This window comes from Homo sapiens, chromosome 1 (assembly GCF_000001405.40).
Source record: "Homo sapiens chromosome 1, GRCh38.p14 Primary Assembly".
NCBI lineage: Eukaryota > Metazoa > Chordata > Mammalia > Primates > Hominidae > Homo > Homo sapiens.
The window spans coordinates 15,775,775-15,798,136 of NC_000001.11; the positions used below are offsets into that span (position 1 = coordinate 15,775,775).

At 50.3% G+C, this 22,362-nt stretch overlaps 1 protein-coding gene and 1 pseudogene across 30 annotated transcripts in view, besides 3 other annotated features; both read left to right on the forward strand.

The window, feature by feature from the left end:
* The window catches only part of FBLIM1 (filamin binding LIM protein 1), a 29,952-nt gene extending 19,137 nt beyond the window's left edge, over nt 1-10,815 (forward strand). For 16 of the 30 annotated variants that reach the window (XM_047423104.1, XM_011541617.3, XM_047423129.1 and 13 more), the window contains 2 exons: nt 1,396-1,513; nt 8,774-10,815. In XM_047423104.1, coding sequence (XP_047279060.1) covers nt 1,396-1,513; nt 8,774-8,887 — 232 coding nt within the window. In that variant the 3' untranslated portion in view covers nt 8,888-10,815. Of the gene's footprint in view, nt 1-527; nt 1,253-1,395; nt 1,514-8,773 lie in introns of those variants that run through there. The other 14 variants (XM_047423148.1, XM_047423149.1, XM_047423151.1 and 11 more) reach the window with 3 other exon arrangements.
* Nucleotides 10,617-11,381: an enhancer, noted in NCBI's record as "H3K27ac-H3K4me1 hESC enhancer chr1:16112886-16113650 (GRCh37/hg19 assembly coordinates)". NCBI's record gives its function as "activates a minimal SCP1, AML or CMV promoter by ChIP-STARR-seq in naive H9 embryonic stem cells {active_cell/tissue: H9 hESC(naive)}" and the evidence as "EXISTENCE:reporter gene assay evidence [ECO:0000049][PMID:30033119]".
* Nucleotides 11,382-12,146: an enhancer, noted in NCBI's record as "H3K27ac-H3K4me1 hESC enhancer chr1:16113651-16114415 (GRCh37/hg19 assembly coordinates)". NCBI's record gives its function as "activates a minimal SCP1, AML or CMV promoter by ChIP-STARR-seq in naive H9 embryonic stem cells {active_cell/tissue: H9 hESC(naive)}" and the evidence as "EXISTENCE:reporter gene assay evidence [ECO:0000049][PMID:30033119]".
* Nucleotides 16,003-16,503: an enhancer, noted in NCBI's record as "H3K4me1 hESC enhancer chr1:16118272-16118772 (GRCh37/hg19 assembly coordinates)". NCBI's record gives its function as "activates a minimal SCP1, AML or CMV promoter by ChIP-STARR-seq in naive H9 embryonic stem cells {active_cell/tissue: H9 hESC(naive)}" and the evidence as "EXISTENCE:reporter gene assay evidence [ECO:0000049][PMID:30033119]".
* RPL12P14 (ribosomal protein L12 pseudogene 14) lies at nt 16,953-17,565 on the forward strand (annotated as a pseudogene).

A 22,362-nucleotide genomic window follows, 5' to 3' on the forward strand; every position in this document is an offset into this window, starting at 1 on the left:
AGGAAAAGGGTATGGTGGAAGCTAATAAACTGAGAGGGAAACCTAGCAGGGCCTGTCCAGAGTCATCTTGGTCTCTATGCAGCTTTTCTTCCTCCAGGATGGAGGGCAGGATTCTCCCTGGAATGAATGAAGGGCTTATGACTCAGTCAGATAAGGCAGGCCAGAGAATTTCTTTATGGCCAGCTCCCAGCAAGAAAGGTGGGAGAAGATTCCTGCCTTGGGGAGAAAAAGGAACAGGCAAAAGGTCAGAGAGAAATTCTGTTTTCTAAGGCCTGAAGTGCCCAATATTATAACAAGTGCTATGGGAGTGATGAGCCCAGCAGGAACTATAGACAAAAACATATATAAAAAACACATATGGGGCCGGGCGCGGTAGCTCACGCCTGTAATCCCAGCACTTTGGGAGGCCAAGGCAGAGGTTGCAGTGAGCCGAGATCGCACCACTGCACTCCAGCCTGGGCAACAGAGCTAGACTCCATCCCAAACAAAACAAAACAAAAAACTGAAAAATAAATATAATGTCACAGGCAGGTACGATTAAGGGTTCTGTTTTACCACCCAAGGCACACAGCAGCTAAGTACCCAAAGTCTCTCCACAGGTAAGTATTGAAGCTCTTGGTAAGTATGCACATCCCCAAGGACCTGACTTTGGGGCCCTGCTCTGAAAGCCCAGACCTCGGGGTCTGCCCTTGGAGCTGAATGATGCAGTGGGGACACACAGATAACCGCTGGACTCAATCCCTGCCCATGAGTTGCTCACCACTCAAGCGGAGAGACAGATGTGCCTCTTAAGAAAGAAAGAAGTACTGGCTGGGCACAGTGGCTCACGCCTGTAATCCCAGCACTTTGGGAGGCCAAGGTGGGCGGATCACGAGGTCAGGAGTTCAAGACCAGCCTGACCAACATGGTGAAACCCGTCTCTACTAAAAATGCAAAAATTAGCTGGGCGTGGTGGTGCCTGCCTGTAGTCCCAGCTACTCAAGAGGCTGAGGCAGGAGAATCACTTGAACCTGGGAGGTGGAGGTTGCAGTGAGCTGAGATTGCATCATTGCACTCCAGCCTGGGTGACAAGAGCAAAAAAAACTCCATCTCAAAAAAAAAAAAAAAAAAAGAAGTACTGAAAAAAAAACAAAAAAGACAGATGAGATGGGTCCCAGCCCCACTGAACACAGTTCTCAATTCAGACAATCTCCAGTGACGCTGGGAAACCAGGTCTCATTACACAGGTCTCTCCACCTGCTCCTGCCAAGAAGAAACAGACATCTCTGCAGTCCCATAGCAACGGGACTGAAATTGCTCAGGAGGTGAACACCAGCCAGCCCGAGTTCTGACAGCTAATTAATTTCTGTGGTTGTGGCATGAACGCCTCCCAAGCATGGGTTCCTTTGCTTCTAGGAAATTCGCCCCCGTCTGCAGCATCTGTGAAAATCCCATCATCCCTCGGGATGGGAAAGATGCCTTCAAAATCGAATGCATGGGAAGAAACTTCCATGAAAATTGCTACAGGTGTGAGGTGAGTGGAGCCTAGGTGGTTTAATAACATTCCATTGCTGCGTGCCAGGCCCTTAGCTGGGTTGCTTGGACATGGGGACAGGTCAGGGTGGGGGCTGTACTCTCAAATTGCTCATTGTCTAGTAGGAGAAACAAAAGATACTGGAAATGCAACCATAGTCTATTATCAACTCTTTGCGTTAATAAGAAACCGGACTCAAGTTGCATTCTCCAGAGAAGGGAATCTGTTGGCTCATGGTGCTGGGATCACTGATGGTATTGAGCGATGGCATCAGGACTCTCTCCATTTTTTTTTTTTTTTTTTTTGGACACAGTCTTACTCTTGTTGCCAGGCTGGAGCGAAGTGGTGCGATCTCAGCTCACTGCAACCTCTACCTCCAGGGTTCAGCAATTCTCCTGCCTCAGCCTCCCGAGTAGCTGGGATTACAGGCGCGCACCACCACACCTGGCTAATTTTTGTATTTTTAGTAGAGACAGGGTTTCACCATGTTGGCCAGGCTGGTCTGGAACTCCTGACCTCAGGTGATCCGCCCACTTCCACCTCCCAAAGTGCTGGGATTACAGGCATGAGCAACCACGCCCAGCCTCTTTCCATCTCTTGGCTCTCCCTTGTTTGTGTGTTTGCTTCATTTTCTCTGCCTGTGGGCTGGCCTTCTCTGTGGGGAGGTGGGGCACAGTGCATGGGCATAGGTGGCCCAGGTTTGCATCTCCCCAGCTTAGAAACCCTAGGGGAAAGAGAGAGCACACCCCCTCCAGGGAAGCCAGACAGTCCCTAGAAGGCCTCTAATCACCCCAGCTAGGGTCACATGCTCATTCAGGGCCAGTCACTGTGGCTGGGGTGCTAGGATTGATAACCACTGGGGCCAGGGAGGCAGAACCATATAAAAAAGGAGGGGTTGTTACAACTGGAGGAAGGGAGAAGAGGATGCTGGACAGATCCACACCACAGTGCCTTTTCCAGGTGCTGGGCAAGAGAATGTAGAAATCAGCTTTGGGGGCCTGGTGCAGTGCCTCACACCTGTAATCCCAGCACTTTGGGAAGCTGAGATGGGTGGATTACTTGAGCTCACGAGTTCGAGACCAGCCTGGGCAACATGGTGAAACCCTGTCTTAAAAATAAATAAATAAAAATAAAAAATAAATCAGCTTTGGGATAAAGAAGGCAGTGATGGTCTAACCAGGATGGTAGAATCAAAGGCACTCATGTAGGAGGCAATGCTTGACTGGGCCTTGCAGGATGAGTAGGAGTTTGCCAGATATTCATAGAGGGGAGAAGTCCAGAAAGGGGAAAAGAGCTACAAAAATCCACGGTAACACGAGCAAGCCTGAAGAATCAGAGGAAGTGGAAGCTTCTTTTTCTTTTTTTTTTTTGAGATGGGATTTCACTCGCGTTACCCAGGCTGGAGTGCAATGGCGTGATCTCAGCTCACTGCAACCTCCACCTCCCGAGTTCAAGCGATTCCCCTGCCTCAGCCTCCCGAGTAATTGGGATTACAGGCATGCACCACCACGCCCAGCTAATGTTTTGTATTTTTAGTAAAGATGTGGTTTCTCCATGTTGGTCAGGCTGGTCTCAAACTCCTGACCTCAGGTGATCTGCCCACCTCAGCTTCCCAGAGTGCTGGGATTACAGGCGTGAGCCACCGTGCCCAGCGTTTTTTTATTTTTGAGACAGTCTCACTCTGTCTCCCAAGTTAGAGTGCAGTGGCATGATCTTGGCTTACTGCAACCTCCAGCTCCCTGGTTCAAGCAATTCTCCCTGCCTCAGCCTCCTGAGTAGCTGGGATTACAGGTGCGTGCCACCACGCCCGGCTAATTTTTGTATTTTTAGTAGAGATGTTGTTTCTCCATGTTGGCCAGGCTGGTCTTGAACTCCTGACCTCAGGTGATCCACCTGCCTCGGCCTCCCAAAGTGCTGGGATTACAGGCATGAGCCACTGCACCCAGCCTAGATCAACTCTTTTGAATGTTACTTTTTCACTTAGAAATTGTCTCTTTTAAATTGTTTTTATTAAATTTTTATTTATTTATTTTTTGAGATGGCGTCTCACTCTGTCACCCAGGCTGGAGTGCACCAGTGCGATCTCAGCTCACTGCAACCTCCACCTCCTGGGTTCATGCGGTTCTCCTGCCTCAGCCTACCAAGCAGCTGGGACTACAGGCATGTGCCACCACACCTGACTAATTTTTGTATTTAGTAGAGATGAGATTTCACCACGTTGGCCAGGCTGGTCTTGAACTCCTGACCTCAAGTGATCCACCTGCCTCAGCCTCCCAAAGTGCTGGGATTACAGGTGTGAGCCACTGCACCCGGCCAGAAGTGGAAGTTTGTAGATGTGACTGGAGTGTAGAGGGCTGGGGTTATGGTTAATGATTAGGTCAGAGAGAAGGAAAGGACTATGGTGCCAGGCTAGAGAGTCTGGACTTCAGGCTGCAGAGAGGGGTCAGGCTGAGATGGGCGAGCTGATTAGAAGCTGGTGCAGTTGTCCCAGGAAGAAGGGCCCAGGAGTCATCACATGTGGCTTGGTGATCAGAAGGGTCCTATGCTAGTTTTGAAGTTCTGCTATTGCTGTCTTTAAATTCTTGATTTTTGTTTGTTTGTTTGTTTTTAATAGAGACAGAGACTGGAGTCAGGCTGGAGTGCAGTAGTGTGATCATAGCTCACTGTAGCCTTGAACGAACTTTTGGGCTCAAGCAGTTCTCTCACCTTAGCATCCTGAGTAGCTGGAAGTACAGGTGCGCACCACCACGCCCAGCTAATTTTTTTATTTTTAAAATTTTTGTAGAGTTGACTTCTCTACAAAAATTTGCCCAGGCTGGTCTTGAACTCCTAGGCTCAAGCGATCCTCTCACCTTGGCCTCCCAAAGTGCTGAGATCACATGCATGAGCCACTGCGCACGGCCTGAAATTCTTAAATTTTTTTTTTGTAGAGACTGAGTCTCACTTTGTTACCCAAGCTGGAGTACAGTGGCGCTATCTCGGCTCACTGCAACCTCTGCCTGTCAGGTTCAAGCAATTCTCTTGCCTCAGCCTCCTGAGTAGCTGGAATGACAGGCTTACACCACCATGCCCGGGTAATTTTTTGTATTTTTAGTAGAGATGGGGTTTCGCCATGTTGGCCAGCCTGGTGTTGAACTCCTGATCTCAAGTGATCTGCCCGCCTTGGCCTCCCAAAGTGCTGGGTGGCGTGAGCCACCACACCCAGTCAAAATTCTTAATTTTTGAACAAGGGGCCCCACATTTTTATTTTGTCCTAGATCGTACAAATTATGTAGTCAGTCCTGCTGAGGAGGCTCAGAAATCCTCTCCCACCCCTTCTACAGCTGGCTCCTTGTCACTGAAGCTTCTGTCTTCTCCGGTGATGGTGACAAGGTGGCAACTTTTATGCGGGGACCTAAGTGGAGAGCCCCAGAGCAGATCTCTTACTCAGCCGATGAGTATTTCGACACACCTGTTCACTCCCATTTATTTAAACAGATACTGGAACCCAGAGGCTATTTTCACTGAGGTTATCAAAGGAGCTGGGTAGAGAAGTTGATAAATTGCTGAGTAATTACATTGTCTTTGTTGGTTATAGGTCAAAGTCCTGCTGATAATGCATTTTGAAAGCCCAGTGAGGAAGTTTAAGTGCTGTTATCCCCAACATCATCCTCACGAGTTCCAGCAGTGACTGGCACCTTCCTGAGCCTGGCCAGGAAGCGAATAAACCCCCCCGGTAGTCCTTGATGACTTGGCCGAGGTGGTGTAGTAAGTCGGCATTTGGACTCCAGCAGTTATGTGTCAGAAGATGAGGCTTCTTGGCCAGGCATGGTGGCTCATGCTGGTGATCCCAGCACTTTGGGAGGCTGAGGCAGGCGGTCAAGAGATGGAGACCATCCTGGCCAACAAGGTGAAACCCCATCTCTACTAAAAATACAAAAATTACCTGGGTGTGGTGGCGTGTGTCTGTAGTCCCAGCTACTCGGGAGGGTGAGTCAGGGGAATTTCTTGAATCCGGGAGGCAGAGGTTGCAGTGAGCCGAGATTGCACCACTGCACTCCAGCCTGGAGACAGAGTGAGACTCTGTCTCAAAAAAAATTAGCTGGGTATGGTGGCGCACACCTGTAGTCCCAGCTACTTGGGAGGTTGAGGCAGGAGAATCACTTGAACCTGGAGGCAGAGGTTGCAGTGAGCAGAGATTGTGCCACTGCACTCTAATCCTCCAGCCTGGGCAACAGAGCAAGACTCTGTCTCAAAAAAAAAAAAAAAAAAATAATGAGGCTCTTGAACTGCAGCAGCCTGGAAGGAGTTGAGTGCTGTTAACTAAGAAGAAAAATGGGTTTCCCTGCACTGCCCACACCCACATCTCACCATTTCTACTTGCTTTGGGGTCCATATTATTTATGACTATTGTTGGAAGGATAACAATACTTTTATATGTAGGTAGTATTGTTTTTTTTTTTTTTTTTTGAGACGGAGTCTCGCTCTGTCGCCCAGGCTGGAGTGCAGTGGTGCAATCTCGGCTCACTGCAAGCTGCACCTCCCGGGTTCACGCCATTCTCCTGCCTCAGCCTCCCGAGTAGCTGGGACCACAGGCGCCTGCCACCACGCCTGGCTAATTTTTTGTATTTTTAGTAGAGATGGGGTTTCACTGTGTTAGCCAGGATGGTCTTGATCTCCTGACCTCGTGATCCGCCCACCTCAGCCTCCCAAAGAGCTGGAATTACAGGTGTGAGCCACCGCACCTGGCCTGTAGGTAGTATTTTTTAATTTATAAAATGCTTTCATTGACATCACCTTGTTTAATCCTAGTGACAGTCTTGTGAGATGGGATTTATTGTCCCCATTTCACATGGGGAAACTGGTGGGGTGTGGTGGCTCACACCTGTGATCCCAGCACTTTGGGAGGCTGAGGCAGGAGGATCACTTGAGCCCAGGAGTTCGAAGCCAGCCTGCGCAGTAAGACCTCATCTTACCATAAATGTTTAAAAATTAGCCAGGCATGGTGGTACCTGTCTGTAGTTCCAGCTACTCTGGAGGCTGAGGCAGGAGGATTGCTTGAGCCTGACAGGTGGAGGCTGCAGTGAGCCATGATAATGCCACTGCACTCTAGCCTGGGTGACAGAGTGAGACTCTATCTTAAAAAAAAAAAAAAAAAGGATGGGAAACAGGCAAACAGTCTCAGAAAAGTGGTTCCAGCCATGCTTGTGTGGGCTGGGTTCAGTGAGGTTTCAGCCACCGCACAGCTGCCTTGCAGAGGTTGTGAGACTTGGTGGTAGATAAGGTGTTTCTTCCAATTGGTTCTAATTTAGGAGGGGTCTCATGTGGCCCTCTGGCATGTGTTCTTACAGTGCCAAACAGGTGGCACAGATGGTGCAGTTGTATAGCCCATGGTCTACTTGAGAGACTCAAGTGGCCTTGTAGGGAGGAGACACACAGGGGTGCCTCACCCAGCTGGCCATGGAGGAAGGCAGATTGCAGACCCTGGTCCCTACTGCATAAGGAGGGCCACCTGTGACCCCAAAGTAGTCCCTATAGGGACTCTTTTTTTTTTTTTTTTGAGACGGAGTCTTGCCCTGTCTCCCAGGCTGGAGTGCAGTGGCGCGATCTCAGCAACCTCCTCCCGGGTTCAAACAATTCTGTCTCAGCCTCATGAGTAGCTGGGATTACAGGCACCCACCACCACGCCCGGCTAATTTTTATATTTTTAGTAGAGACGGGGTTTCACCATGTTGGCCAGGCTGGTCGCAAACTCCTGACCTCATGATCCGCCCGCCTCAGCCTCCCAAAGTGCTGGGCTTACAGGCGTGAGCCACTGCGCCTGGCCCCCTATAAGGACTCTTTTGTGGGATCAGTGCAGCTTCCAAAGGGTGCCCAGAACCAAGTCTCTGCGCGCAAATTGTCCCCCCTGTTATTCTCTAGCATGTGCCCAGGTGAGGTTTCTGGGGCAGAACAGTGACGTTGGTAGAATTTGGGCCCCGAGTCCCTGTGTTCCTCATTCTGAAATCCTTTGGTGATTTGAAAAATAGAAAATATTAATGTTTGTGCTGGTGTTGAAGCTGTGTGGGCTGTGGAGTCACAGAAAGGCCCCTGGAGCCAGATCCTGGAGACCCAGTCTGGTCCCAGCTCCAGAACCAGCTGTGTGACCTGGGGCAGAGCCCACTCCTCCCTGGACCTTGGTATCCCACCTGTGAAATGAAGGGACTGGACTAGATTCAGGCACTCATCAGCAGATACCCATGGCCTGTGCTGGGATGGGGACTTGGCCTTAAACAGGGTTCCTGTCTCGTAGAACTTACGTTCTTTTTTTTTTTTTTTTTTTTTTTTGAGATGGAGTCTCGCTCTGTCACCCGGGCTGGAGTGTAGTGGCACGATCTCGGCTCACTGCAAGCTCTGCCTCCCGGGTTCACGCCATTCTCCTGCCTCCTGCCTCAGCCTCCCACATAGCTGGGAGTACAGGCGCCCGCCACCACGCCCGGCTAGTTTTTTGTATTTTTAGTAGAGATGGGGTTTCACCGTGTTAGCCAGGATGGTCTCTATCTCCTGACCCTGTGATCCGCCCGCCTCAGCCTCCCAAAGTGCTGGGATTATAGGCGTGAACCACCGCGCCCGCCCAGAATTTATGTTCTAAAGGGGTTATTGAAGCCGGGCGCACTGGCTCACACCTGTAATCCCAGCATGGGAAGCCAAGGTGGGCGGATCACTTGAGGTCAGGAGATCGAGACCAGCCTGACCAACATGGCAAAACCCTGTCTACTAAAAATACAAAAATTAGCTGGGTGTGGTGGCACACGCCTGTAATCCCAGCTACCTGGGAGGCAGGAGAATCGCTTGAACCCGGGAAGCAGAGGTTGCAGTGAGCCAAGATCGTGCCACTGCACTCCAGCCTGGGCGACAGAGCAAGACTGTCTCAAAATAAATAAATGATAAAAACAAATTTTAAAAAATAATAAAGGAGCTATTAAGACTCTTCTAGCCCCAACTTTCCCTGAACCCTCAGGGGACTTCCCCAGGTGTCCTTAGTTCTCCTGACGGTGAATGTCTGTCCTCACCGGCGCCTCCACGTGGATTAAAGCCTCCATGTGTGTCTGTGTCTCATCTTCCCTTATGGAGACCTGGCCCGGGTGTTGGGAGGGCAGCAGTGAGCAGCCTCCTTCCTCCCACTTAGGAAGGGCATCCACTCATGCAGTTGGTTTATTCGGCAGATGCCAAGTGAGTCCCTCCCCTGTGCAGGCAGCGCCCAGGCCCAGGGCGGGTCAGCATGTGTCTTTGTCTCCCCAGGACTGCAGGATCCTCCTGTCTGTCGAGCCCACGGACCAAGGCTGCTACCCCCTGAACAACCATCTCTTCTGCAAGCCATGCCATGTGAAGCGGAGTGCTGCGGGGTGCTGCTGAGAGTGCCCGCTGGGCAGTGAACAGACCACTAGCCCCGGCTGGGGCCCTTCCCTGACTTGGTTTCCCTTCCTAACCTGCTCTTGCACACTTTCCTTCTGAGCCTCCATGGAGACCAGCCTGCAAGCCGGCCCAGCCTGTCCAGGATACAGTGGGGCTGAGCACCCCCAGGCCTTCCACTCCTCTACCCTCTGGGCACCAGAAGGCTCCTGGACCATGAGCTTCACCCCCAGAATTCCCTGCTGACCCTGCCCCACTTCCAGGGAAAAGCTGGGGGAGGTTGGACCCCTCTCACTGACTAGCTGTCTGGTAGGGGTGCTAGGACCAGCCTCGCCTGTGGGGTTGAGCTGTTTGAGGACAAACTCCAAGGTCCCTTAAAAAGTGCCTTTTAGAGGCTGGGCATGGTGGCTCACGCTTGTAATCCCAGCACTTTGGGAGGCCAAGGTGGGTGGATCACCTGAGGTCAGGAGTTCAAGACCAGCCTGGCCAACATGGTGAAACCCTGTCTCTACTAAAAATACAAAAATTAGCCAGGCATGGTAGCAGGTGCCTGTAATCCCAGCTACTGGGGAAAGCTGAGGCAGGAGAATTGCTTCAATCTGGAAGGCAGAGGTTGCAGTGAGATTGCACCATTGCATTCCAGCCTGGGCAACAAGAGGGAAACTCCGTCTCAAAAAAAAAAAAGTGCCTTTTAGGCCGGATGTGGTGGCTCATGCCTGTAATCCCAGCACTTTGGGAGGCCAAGGCAGGCAGATCACTTGAGGTCAGGAGTTTGAGACCAGCCTGGCCAACACGGCAAAACCCCGTTTCTACTAAAAATACAAAAATTAGCTGGGTGTGGTGGCGTGCGCCTGTAATCCCAGCTACTCAGGAGGCTGAGGCAGGAGCATTGCTTGAACCCGGGAGGCAGAGGTTGCAGTGAGCTGAGATGGCACCACTGCACTCCAGCCTGGGAGACACAGCGAGACTCTGTCTCCAAAAAAAAAAGTGCTTTTTGAAAATGTTGAGGTTGAAATGATGGGAACCAACATTCTTTGGATTTAGTGGGGAGCATAATAGCAAACACCCCCTTGGTTCGCACATGTACAGGAATGGGACCCAGTTGGGGCACAGCCATGGACTTCCCCGCCCTGGAATGTGTGGTGCAAAGTGGGGCCAGGGCCCAGACCCAAGAGGAGAGGGTGGTCCGCAGACACCCCGGGATGTCAGCATCCCCCGACCTGCCTTCTGGCGGCACCTCCCGGGTGCTGTGTTGAGTCAGCAGGCATGGGGTGAGAGCCTGGTATATGCTGGGAACAGGGTGCAGGGGCCAAGCGTTCCTCCTTCAGCCTTGACTTGGGCCATGCACCCCCTCTCCCCCAAACACAAACAAGCACTTCTCCAGTATGGTGCCAGGACAGGTGTCCCTTCAGTCCTCTGGTTATGACCTCAAGTCCTACTTGGGCCCTGCAGCCCAGCCTGTGTTGTAACCTCTGCGTCCTCAAGACCACACCTGGAAGATTCTTCTTCCCTTTGAAGGAGAATCATCATTGTTGCTTTATCACTTCTAAGACATTTTGTACGGCACGGACAAGTTAAACAGAATGTGCTTCCCTCCCTGGGGTCTCACACGCTCCCACGAGAATGCCACAGGGGCCGTGCACTGGGCAGGCTTCTCTGTAGAACCCCAGGGGCTTCGGCCCAGACCACAGCGTCTTGCCCTGAGCCTAGAGCAGGGAGTCCCGAACTTCTGCATTCACAGACCACCTCCACAATTGTTATAACCAAAGGCCTCCTGTTCTGTTATTTCACTTAAATCAACATGCTATTTTGTTTTCACTCACTTCTGACTTTAGCCTCGTGCTGAGCCGTGTATCCATGCAGTCATGTTCACGTGCTAGTTACGTTTTTCTTCTTACACATGAAAATAAATGCATAAGTGTTAGAAGCTCTTCCATGTTGTGTGTAGGCTCTCACACAGGTAAACGCTGGCGTTTGGTAGTAGCCCTGGGCATCTGCTCGCTGTGGCGGGAGTGTCCGAAGAGTGCTGGGGCTCAGCTCAGCAGATGGAGGGGCTCATTTCCTGCCTCATGCCCAGCACTGGGGCCGGCCAACTCACTGGGTGTGCTTCTCCTGGACACAGGCCACCACTGATGGGGTTGGCTGCAGGAGCCTCAGTAGGGCTGCCAAATGCTTTAAGAATTAACACTCATGCCGGGCGTGGTGGCCCATGCCTGTGATCCCAGCACTTTGGGAAGCTGAGGTGGGCGGGTCACTTGAGGCCAGGAGTTTCAGACCAGCCTGGCCAACATGGTGAAACACCGCCTCTACTAAAAATACAAAAATTAGCTGGGCATGGTGGTGCTTGCCTCTAGGCCCAGCTACTCGTGAGGCTGAGGTAGGAGAATCTCGAACCTGGGAGGCAGAGGTTGCAGTGAGCTGAGATCACAACACCGCACTCCAGCCTGGGTGATAGACTGATTCAAAAAAATAAGAATCAACAGTCAGGCTGGGTGCAGTGCCAGCACTTTGGGAGGCCGAGGTGGGTGGATGGCTTGAGCTCAGGAGTTTGAGACCAGCCGTGTCAACATGGCGAAACCCCGTCTCTATGAAAAATGAGCTGGGCACGGTGGTGTGCACCTATAGTCCCAGCTACCTGGGAGGCTGAGGTAAGAGGATCACCTGAGCCCAGGAGGTCGAGGCTGCAGTGAGCCGTGATTGTGTCACTGCGCTCCAGCCTGGGTGACAGAATGATACCCTGTCTCAAAAATAAAAAAAAAACACCCCCAGGGCGTGCTCCCTGCACATAACTAGGCTGCTCTCCCTTTTCAAGCTTGCACACTGACCCCTGGGCTCACTTGGTGAGCACAGGCCCAGAAAGAGTTGGCCTGAAAGAGCACTGGCTTGGTGACAGGCCACCCAGATCTCAGACCTATCTCTGTACTCAATAGCGTGGACAAGTTAGTAACCCTCAGCCTTGATGTTCTCATCTGGAGCAGTTTAAAACATTTTATTTATTGGCTGAGCGCGATGGCTCACACCTGTAATCCCAGCACTTTGGGAGGCCGAGGCAGGCAGATCACAAGGTCAGGAGTTCAAGACCAGCCTGGTCAACATGGTGAAACCCCATCTCTACTAAAAATACAAAAATTAGCCAGGCGATGTGGCAGGCGCCTGTTATCCCAGCTACTTGGGAGGCTGAGATAGGAGAATCGGTTGAACCTGGGCGGCAGAGCCTGCAGTGAGCTGAGATTGCGCCACTGCACTCCAGCCTAGGTGATAGAGTAAGACTCCATCTCAAAAAAAAAAAAAAAAAAAAAAAAAAAATATATATATATATATATATATATAAAATGTATTATAAAAATAGAGGCCGGGCGTGGTGGCTCATGCCTGTAATTTTAACACTTTGGGAGGCCAAGGCAGGCAGATCACGAGGTCAAGAGATCAAGACCATCCTGGCCAACATGGTGAAACCCCGACTCTATTAAAAATACAAAAAAATTAGCTGGGTGTGTTGGTGCGCACCTGTAATCCCAGGTACTCAGGAGGCTGAGGCAAGAGAATTGCTTAAACCTGAGAGGCGGAGGTTGCAGTGAGCCGAGATTGCGCCATAGCATTCCAGCCTGGTGACAGAGCGAGACTCCGTCTCAAAAAAAAAAAAAAAAGAGGCCAGGCACGGTGGCACATGCCTGTAATCCCAGCACTTTGGGAGGCCAAGGCGGGTAGATAGCCTGAGGTCAGGAGTTCGTGACCAGCCTGACTAACATGATGAAACCCCATCTCTACTAAATACAAAAAAGTTAGCCGGGCCTGGTGGCACATGCCTGTAATATGAGCTACTTGATAGGCTGGGACAGGAGAATCCCTTGTACTTGGGAGGTGGAGGTTGCAGTGAGCTGAGATCGCGCCATTGCACTCTAGCCTGGGCAACAAGAGCAAAACTCCATCTCAAAATAAATAAATAAATAAATAGAGATGGAGTCCCACTATGTTGCTCAGGCTGGTCTCAAACTCCTGGGCTCAAGCAATCCTCCCACCTTGGCCTCCCAAATAGCTGGGATTACAGGCGTGAGTCACCATGCCCAGCCAAGTTGGAACAGTTCTAATCTATCATGGAGAGTTGCTGTGAGAGAAAGGGAAGTATTAGGCTGAGAGATTTCAGCTTAGTTCATGAGTCACTGGCTTCATCTTGTGAACCCTGAAATTCTCTAGCCGTCACTCCCTCCATGGTCACGTTGATGCCTGTCAATCAGACCACCAGGAACACGCCTGCAGTCAACAAATTTGGGTTTATTATGCTTGCTGTGGCAAGGGAGGCCACACAGCACGGGGAAGCCAGGGCATCTCCAAAAGCAGTGTTAGTGCTGGTATCGGATTTGGAGAAAGATTTAAGGAAGTGTGGGTTTGCTCTGGATGTGTGCTGTCAGAAAGCGGGGTGATTGTATGGTTCAGTGACTCGATCCCTTTATATCTACAGCTGTGATTGGGGGCGACGCAGCAGCAGCTGCAGGAGACATTCTCATTTGTGTGGGTGGCCCTGAGATGCGTGTTCAGGACAGCTGCTGAGTGGTGTTGCTTTTGACTTTAACCTTCTTAGGCCAGACGTGGTGGCTCATGCCTATATACCCAGCACTTTGGAAGGCCAAGGAGGGCGGATCATCTGAGGTTGGGAGTTTGAGACCAGCCTGACCAATGTGGAGAAACCCTGTCTCTACAAAAAATACAAAATTAGCCAGGTGTGGTGGCGCATGCCTGTAATCCCAGCTACTCGGGAGGCTGAGGCAGGAGAATCGCTTGAACCTGGGAGGCGGAGGTTGTGGTTAGCCGAGATCACGGCATTGCACTCCAGCCTGGGCAACAAGAGCAAAACTCCGTCTCAAAAAACAAAACAAAACAACAAAAAAACCATATAAACAAACAACAAAAAAACCATATATATGTGTGTGTGCGTATATATATGTATATGTGTGTATATACATGTCCATATATGTATATATGTATGTATATGTGTATATATATGCATATGTGTGTGTGTGTGTGTGTGTGTGTGTGTGTGTGTATATATAGCCTTGTTGTAATTCCTCATGTCCTAGCATGCTTCTGTTTGAGTGTATTTGGAGGGGTGTTACCTGGATGAAATTCTAGGAGATGCCTCTGCTTTTCGGGCTGCCCATGTAAAAATCATTCCATTCCATAAGGGGATGCTTCTAGGGAGCACTCAATAGTGTGTATTCACCTCCCCCACCCCAACCCTCCCAACCAACCTTCATTCTTCTTTTCATTCCTCTTTTCATCCTTTTCTCTGCTCTCACTTGGAGGGCGCCTGCCACATGTAGGCACAATCAGAACACCCCAGGCAAAGATGATTTCCCTTCCCTTTGGGTACACTTACTGGCAAAGATAAAATATATTCTCTAGATTCAAAGAGATATTTGTGCACCCATGTTCATATCAGCATTACTCACAATAGCCAAAAGGGGGAAGGAACCAAGTGTCCATGAACAGAAGAACGGATGACAAGATGTGGTCTCTCCAGACAATGGAAGATTCTTCAACCTTAAAAAGGATGGCAGCCTGGGTGCGGTGGCTCACATCTGTAATCCCAGCACTTTGGGAGGCTGAGGCAGGTGGATCACTTGAGGTCAGGAGTTCGAGACCAGCCTGGCCAAAATGGTGAAATCCCATCTGTACTAAAAATACAAAAATTAGCCATTAGCCAGCTGTGGTAGTGCACGCCTGTAATCCCAGCTACTCAGGAGGCTGTGGCAGGAGAATCGCTTGAACCCAGGAGGCGGAGGTTGCAGTGAGCCGAGATCGTGCCATTACACTCCAGCCTGGGTGACAGAGCGAGATCTCCGTCTAAAAAAAAAAAAAAAAAGGCCACACGTGGTGGCTCACACCTGTAATCCCAGCACTTTGGGAGGCTGAGGCAGGCGGATCACGAGATCAGGAGTTCAAGATCAGCCTGGCCAACATGGTAAAACCCCGTCTCTACTAAAAATACAAAAATTAGCCAGGCATAGTGGCACACACCTGTAGTCCCAACTACTGGGGAGGCTGAGGAAGAAGAATCATTTGAACCCAGGAGGCAGAGGTTGTGATGAGCTGAGATCGTGCCACTGCACTCCAGCCTGGGCAACAAAGTGAGACTCCATCTCAAAAAAACAAACAAAAAAAAAGGATGGCATTCTGACACATGCCACAATGTGAATACACCTTGACAACATTGTGCTCAGTGAAATAGGCAGACACAAAAGGACAGACACTGTATGATTCCACTTATATGAGTATCTAGTCAGATTCATAAAGACAATGTAGAACAGAGGTTTCCAGGAACTGGGGGGAAATAGGAATGAGGAGCTTAGTGTTTAATGGGGGCAGAGTTTCAGTTTGGGAAGGAGAATAGCGTTCTGGAGGCTGGGCGCAGTGGCTCACGCCTGTAACCCCAGCACTTTGGGAGGTCAAGGCAGGCGAATCGCTGGGGCCCAGGAATTCAAGACCAGCCTGGGCAACATGGCAAAACCCTGTCTCTACAAAAAATTAGCCAGGCATGGTGGCATGCGCTTGTAGTTCCAGCTACTCTAGGGGTTAAGGTAAGAGGGTCATCTGAGCCTGGGAGGTCGAAGTCGCACTCCAGCCTGGGTGACAGAGTGAGACCCTGTCAAAAAAAAAAAAAAAAAAAAGCTGGCCAGAGTTCGAGACCAGCCTGGCCAACATGGTGAAACCTTGTCTCTCTAAAAATACAAAAATTAGCCAGGTAGGGGCCGGGCGCGGTGGCTCACGCCTGTAATCCCAGCTCTTTGGGAAGCCGAGGCGGGCGGATCACGAGGTCAGGAGATTGAGACCATCCTGGCTAATAGGGTGAAACCCTGTCTCCACTAAAAATACAAAAAATTAGCCGGGTGTGGTGGCAGGCGCCTGTAGTCCCAGCTACTCGGGAGGCTGACGCAGGAGAATGGTCTGAACCCAGGAGGCGGAGCTTGCAGTGAGCCGAGATCGCGCCACTGCACTCCAGCCTGGGCGACAGAGAGAGAGTCTGTCTCAAAAATAAAATAAAATAAAATATTAGCCAGGTGGAGTGGCGGGCACCTGTAGTTCCAGCTACTTGGGAGGCTGACGTGGGAGAATCACTTGAACACAGGAGGCAGAGGTTGTCGTGAGCCAAGATTGCACCACTGCGCTTCCAGCCTGGGTGACACAGTAAGACTTTGTCTTAAAAAAAAAAATAGTTCTGGAGATGTATGGTGGTGATGGTTGCCCAACAGTGTGAAGGTACTTAATGCCATGAAACCGTACAGTTAGTTGCGATGGTAAATTTTACATGTATTTTAGCACAATTAAAATATACGTATATAATACATCTATCTATGCATCTAAACCAGATGCTGCGAGACAGGAAGAGGAGCTGGTGAAGGCATGCAGTGCTGGAAGGGTCCTGAGGGGGACGGTCCCTGCCTAGGGTCCCCTGCGCAGCCTGGGAAGGCTGGCCACTGCTGTCTGCAGATGAGCTGGTTGTCCCGGCTGTCCTGGACTCCCTAAAGGCAGGTGCGCACACAACCACTAGAGGGCAGCATGGGCTGGCGAACGGGGAGCCCGGGCATGAATGATTTCAGGGTTCACACGGGTCCTCAACTTCTCCAAACTGCAAGAGGGGAAGGGTCATTCCGGCCCACGCACCACGCAGGGTGGCAGTGAGGCTGAGAGGAGAGAACAGATTGCAAAACTAGAAAGTGTCCAGCCTGGGCCAGGCACGGTGGCTCACGCCTGTAATCCCAGCACTTTGGGAGGCAGAGGCCGGTGGATCACCTGAGGTCAGGAGTTCGAGATCAGCCTGACCAATATGGTGAGACCCTCGTCTCTACTAAAAATACAAAAATTAGCCGGGCATGGTGGCGTGTGCCTGTAGTCCCAGCTATTCAGGAGACTGAGACAGGAGAATCGCTTGAACCCGGAAGGCGGAGGTTGCAGTGAGCCAAGATCATGCCACTGCACTCCAGCCTGGGCGATAGAGCTAGACTCTCTCTCAGAGAAAGACTCTGTCTCAAAAAAAAAAAAAAAAAAAAAAAAAAAAAAAAAAAAAAAGAGAAGGAGACCAAGGTGCAACTTTCTTCGGTTGTCCCGAATCCGGGTTCATCCCACACCAGCCACCTCCACCATGCCGTGAAGTTTGACCCCAGAGAGATCAAAGTTGTATACCTGAGGTGCACTGGAGGTGAAGTCGCTGCTTCTGCGCTGGCCCCCAAGATCGGCCCCCTGGGTCTGTCTCCAAAAAAGGTTGGTGATAACATTGCCAAGGCAACGGGTTACCGGAAGGGCCTGAGGATTACAGTGAAACTGACCATTCAGAACAGACAGGCCCAGATTGAGGTGGTGCCTTCTGCCTCTGCCCTGATCATCAAAGCCCTCAGGGAACCACTAAGAGACAGAAAGAAACAGAAAAACATTAAACACAGTGGGAATATCACTTTTGATGAGATCGTCAACATTGCTTGACACACGTGGCACCGATCTTTAGCCAGGGAACTCTCTGGAACCATTAAAGAGATCCTGGGGACTGCCCAGTCTGTGGGCTGTAATGTTGATGGCCGCTACCCTCATGACATCATAGATGACATCAACAGTGGTGCTGTGGAATGCCCAGCCAGTTAAGAAGCAGAAAGGAAAATATTTCAATAAAGGATCACTTGACAACTGGTGGAAAAAAAAGAAAAAGAAAGAGTGTCCAGCCTGGGCAATGTGGAGAAACTCCATCTCTACTAAAAATAGAAAAATTAGGCAGGGCCAGGCGCAGTGGCTCATGCCTGTAATCCCAGCACTTTGGGAGGCCGAGGCGGGTGGATCACCTGATGTCAGGAGTTCATGACCAGCCTCAACATGGAGAAACCCCGTCTCTACTATAAAAATACAAAATTAGCTGGGCGTGATGGTGCATGCCTGTAATCCCAGCTACTCGGGAGGCTGAGGCAGGAGAATTGCTTGAACCTGGGAGGCGGAGGTTGTGGTGAGCCGAGATCACGCCATTGCACTCCAGCCTGGGCAACGAGAGCGAAACTCCGTCTCAAAAAAAAAAAAAAAGAAAAAAAGAAAAATTAGGCGGGCGTGGTGGTGAGCACCTGTGGTCCCAGCTACTTGGGAAACTGAGTTGGGAGATTCACCTGAGCCTGGGATGCAGAGGTTGAAGTAAGCTGAGATCGCACCACGCCACTGCCCTCCAGCCTGGGCCACAGAGCGAGACCCTCTCTCCAAAACAAAACAAAACAAAAAACTAGAAAGTGAGTGATATGGCTGTGGAATTGCTGCCTCTGTCCTAGAGACACGCCCTTTTGGAGGGAGACCTGTGTCAGCAGACTGAATTCTTCATTGGCTCAAACCCCCACCTGCTAGGAGGGGCCCACCTGGAAGTCCCCATGCTGCTACCCTGCAATTCCATACCTGGGAACCTGGGCACAGTAAGCACAGAATCAGAGCTGGGACAAAGGACAGCATGGTGCACTGGGAGCCCTGAGCCTTTCTGATGGTCACCCTGTCCCCAGAGGCCCCTTTCCCGAGGGCACACCCAGGTGTGAACTTCACCCAGCACAGGCCACAGGCCAGCCCCTCCAGGGCAACCCAAGCCCCTCCCTACCCTGCTAGAGAGACAAATGGTGGGAACCGGGAATTGAATGGGGGGATGGGGAGAGGGGAGGAGGCTGAGCTGATGAGGAAGAATTGCAGGGACTGAGAACATTTTCCAAAAAATGTTCTCCTCACTTTAATGTACAGTTTATGTAACAAAATAATCTATGAAGTAGCAATTTTGACATTGCCAAAGAGGAGGAAGCTGCACATCAGAGAGCTGGTATAACTGCACAAGGCCGCACAGCAGAGACAGGATCAAAGCAGGTCCAGTGAAAATTCTATAGTCCTCCACTACAGACCCACTTCAGAAATCCATATTCTAGAATGTTTCAGAACCCATCGTGTAACACAGGTGCCAATGTCCAACTGAAAAAACCTTTAATGTCTGGAGCTCTGCATCTCTGCATCTTTTTTTTTTTTGAGACACAGTCTCACTCTGTTGCCCAGGCTGGAGTACAGTGGTGCAAATACAGCTCACTGCAGCTTTGATGATGTCCTGGGCTCAAGCAGTCCTCCTACCTCAGCCTCCCAAGTAGCTGGGACCCCAAGCATGCACCACCACACCTGACTAATTTTTTAAATTTTTTGTAAAGATGGGGTTTTACCATGCTGCTTAGGCTGATTTGGAACTCTTGGCCTCAAGCAATCCTCCTGCCTCGGCCTCCCAAGTGCTGGGATTACAGGAGTGAGCCACCGTGCCCAGCTAAGACCTGCATCTTTTTTTTTTTTTTTTTTTTTTTTAGAGATGAGGTCTCTCTATGTTGCCCAGGCTGCTCTTGAACTTCTGAGCTCAAGTGATCCTCCTGCTTTGGCCTCCCAAAGTGCTAGAATTACATGTGTGATCCACCACGCCAGGCCAAGACCTGCATCTTAAGAGGGGGAGTTTAGACTGCAGGCCTCTTGCTTGTAAGTGACATATAATTTTCCCAATCCATCCAGAAAGGTCCTTGTATCCTGTATGACTCATACTAATTCTCAGAGAGTGAGCATCAGATTAGAGAGACTCTGGAGTGTACCCTGCTCATAACCTTCCTTCTGCAGAAAAAAATGTATGTGATTCAGTGGAAAATAATGCACTATCTACACCCAGCACACCCTTCCTGGTTATCAGATTCTAGCCTTTTATTGTCTTTGAGCGACTTTACAGCTCTGTAAATTATAGGTAAATGATATATTGCCCTGTCTAGTAGAGGTTCTCCCTCGCTTTCTTGTTGAAAAACCAGTTTTCATTTGCACATTCATTTCAATATTCCTGACCTATGAATGTGACTGTTCTTAGCTGTCCCCCCTTTTTTTTTTGAGACAGAGTCTCGCTCTGTCACCCAGACTGGAGCAGAGCACAGTGGCATGATCTCAGCTCACTGCAAGCTCCGCCTCCTGGGTTTAAGCGATTCTCCTGCCTCAGCCTCCCAAGTAGCTGGGATTACAGGCATATGCCATGATGCCCAGCTAATTTTTGTATTTTTAGTAGAGACGGGGTTTCACCATGTTGGCCAGACTGGTCTTGAACTCCTGACCTCAGGCAATCCACCTGCCTCGGCCTCCCAAAGTGCTGGGATTACAGGCGTGAGCCACTGTGCCCGGCCCTTAGCTGCCCTTTTGAGCTGGTTATAACATCACCTGGCTCCCTTATGAGTTAAATAAAATGGCTAATACCTATTCATTTTCTATCTGTGTGGGAGTCATGATTTTACCTTCTTTTGAAAATGAAAATGACCTTGCAACGCTTCCTTCATCAGGTGTTTATGACAGCTCCTTTAGGCCAGAGGAGGTGGTGGGGTCCCTTGCAGGGCATCCCATGAGGTGGAATTAAGAGCAGCTGGCCGGTGGCCTCTGTTCCCCAGAGTGGTCTCTGAATGGGAAGGGAGGGGAGGGGAGGAGGAAGACAGGAGGGAGGGGTTCTGCCCAGTGGATGGGATAAGGTCTTAGCAAGACCTAGATTCTCGGGCTGGGTGAAGTGGCTCATGTCTATAATCCCAGCAATTTGGGAGCCGAGGCAGGAGGATCACTTGAGCCCAGGAGTTCTATTTCAGCCTGGGCAATAGAGTGAGACCCCATCTCTACAAAAAAAAACAAAAAACAAAAAACAAAAAAAAAACTAGACTCTCTCTCTGGTTAAGCTCCTAGCCAGCTATTTGACCTTGAGACACAATGTCTTTAAGTTTTGAGGGTGAGGAAGGGTGTCAAAAACTGACATTTATTTCCTGAGCTCTTGTCTGTCTTGTCTGGGGTGAGGCTGGAGAGGTGGGATGATTGACTACGCTGAACAGGAAGCTAGGTTTCAGGAGTTAGGCAGCCTGCCTGGGATCGAGACTCCTTGATGAGGATACTGACAGTAATAACAACAGCAGCAGCTACCATTTCGTGGGCATGCATATGCCCATATGTATTATCTCATTTAGTTCCCACTGCTGCCTGGAAGGAAGGAATGATCTATGATCCCATCGTTCACACAGGGAGACGAAGGCTCAAGGTCACACCACATAGATTCCAGCTCTATATTTAGCCAAGTCCTAAACCCTTTATTCCACTGCCTTAGCCTCCTAGATGAGACAGGGCAATCCCTTGGCCACTGAATTGCTTTTTTCCTCACCTACAAAACAAAGAGAATTATTACCTTGATCATACACGTAAAGGAATGCAATGGCAGATGACCAAATGTCATGTGGTTTCCTGGGATGGATTCTGGAAAGGAAGAAAGGACATTAGTGGAAAATCTGGTGAAATCCCAGTAAAGTCTGGAGTTTGGTGAGTCATGTTGTACCAATGTCAGTTTCCTAGTTTGGACAAATGTGCCATAGTTGCGTGAGATTTTTTTTTTTTTTTTTCTGAGACAGTGTCTCGCTCTGTCACCCAGGTTGGAGTGCAGTGGCGCGATCTTGGCTCACTGCAAGCTCTGACTCCCGGGTTCACGCCATTCTCCTGCCTCAGCCTCCTGAGTAGCTGGGACTACAGGTGCCCGCCACGACGCCCGGCTAATGTTTTGTATTTTTAGAAGAGATGAGGTTTCACCGTGTTAGCCAGGAAGGTCTCGATCTCCTGACCTCGTGAACTGCCTGCCTCGGCCTCCCAAAGTGCTGGGATTACAGGCGTGAGCCACCGCACCCGGCTGTTTTTTTTTTTTTTTTTTAAGACGGAGTCTTGCTCTGTCACCAGGCTGGAGTGCAGTAGAGCGATCTTGGCTCACTGCAACCTCTGCCTCCCAGGTTCAAGCAATTCCCCTGCCTCAGCCTCCCAAGTAGCTGGGACTACAGGCACACACCACCACGCCTGGCTAATTTTTTGTATTTTAGTAGAGACTGGGTTTCACCATGTTGGTCAGGATGGTCTCGATCTCCTGACCTCGTGATCTGCCCACCTCGGCCTCCCAAAATGCTGGGATTACAGGCGTGAGCCTCCATGCCCAGCCTCAATAAATCTAAAGTTATTTTGAAATCAAAAGTTTCTTATCTAACAAACTAACGGGATAAAGGGGAAAGTCTTTGAGCCTGAGCTCCTGGATGCCCTGCCTCTCACTGATGACGTAAGAACAAGGGGGTGAGAGGAGGCCATCACACACTCTTCTGCCAACAGGAAAGTCGGGCTGAGAGGGTAGTCATGTCTGGACAAGGGGGAGGGGCCTACTGACTGAGAAGATGGCAAGAGAAGAGGAGTGGGGGACCTGACCCAATATCTATAGCATGTGGGAGACAAGTGCCAAGTAGGAAGAGGATGGTGAGGGGTCTCAGAAGATCAGAGTGACCTTCACCCAGTGTGAGTGGTAATTTTTTTCCTTCCCACCTTCATCCTCCTCCTCGCAGAGGTGATCAGATGTTTGCAGGTGCCTGCTTGTGTTTACAAGTAGGTCTTGGAAGATAAGAGAGGCAGTGGGAGGGGTG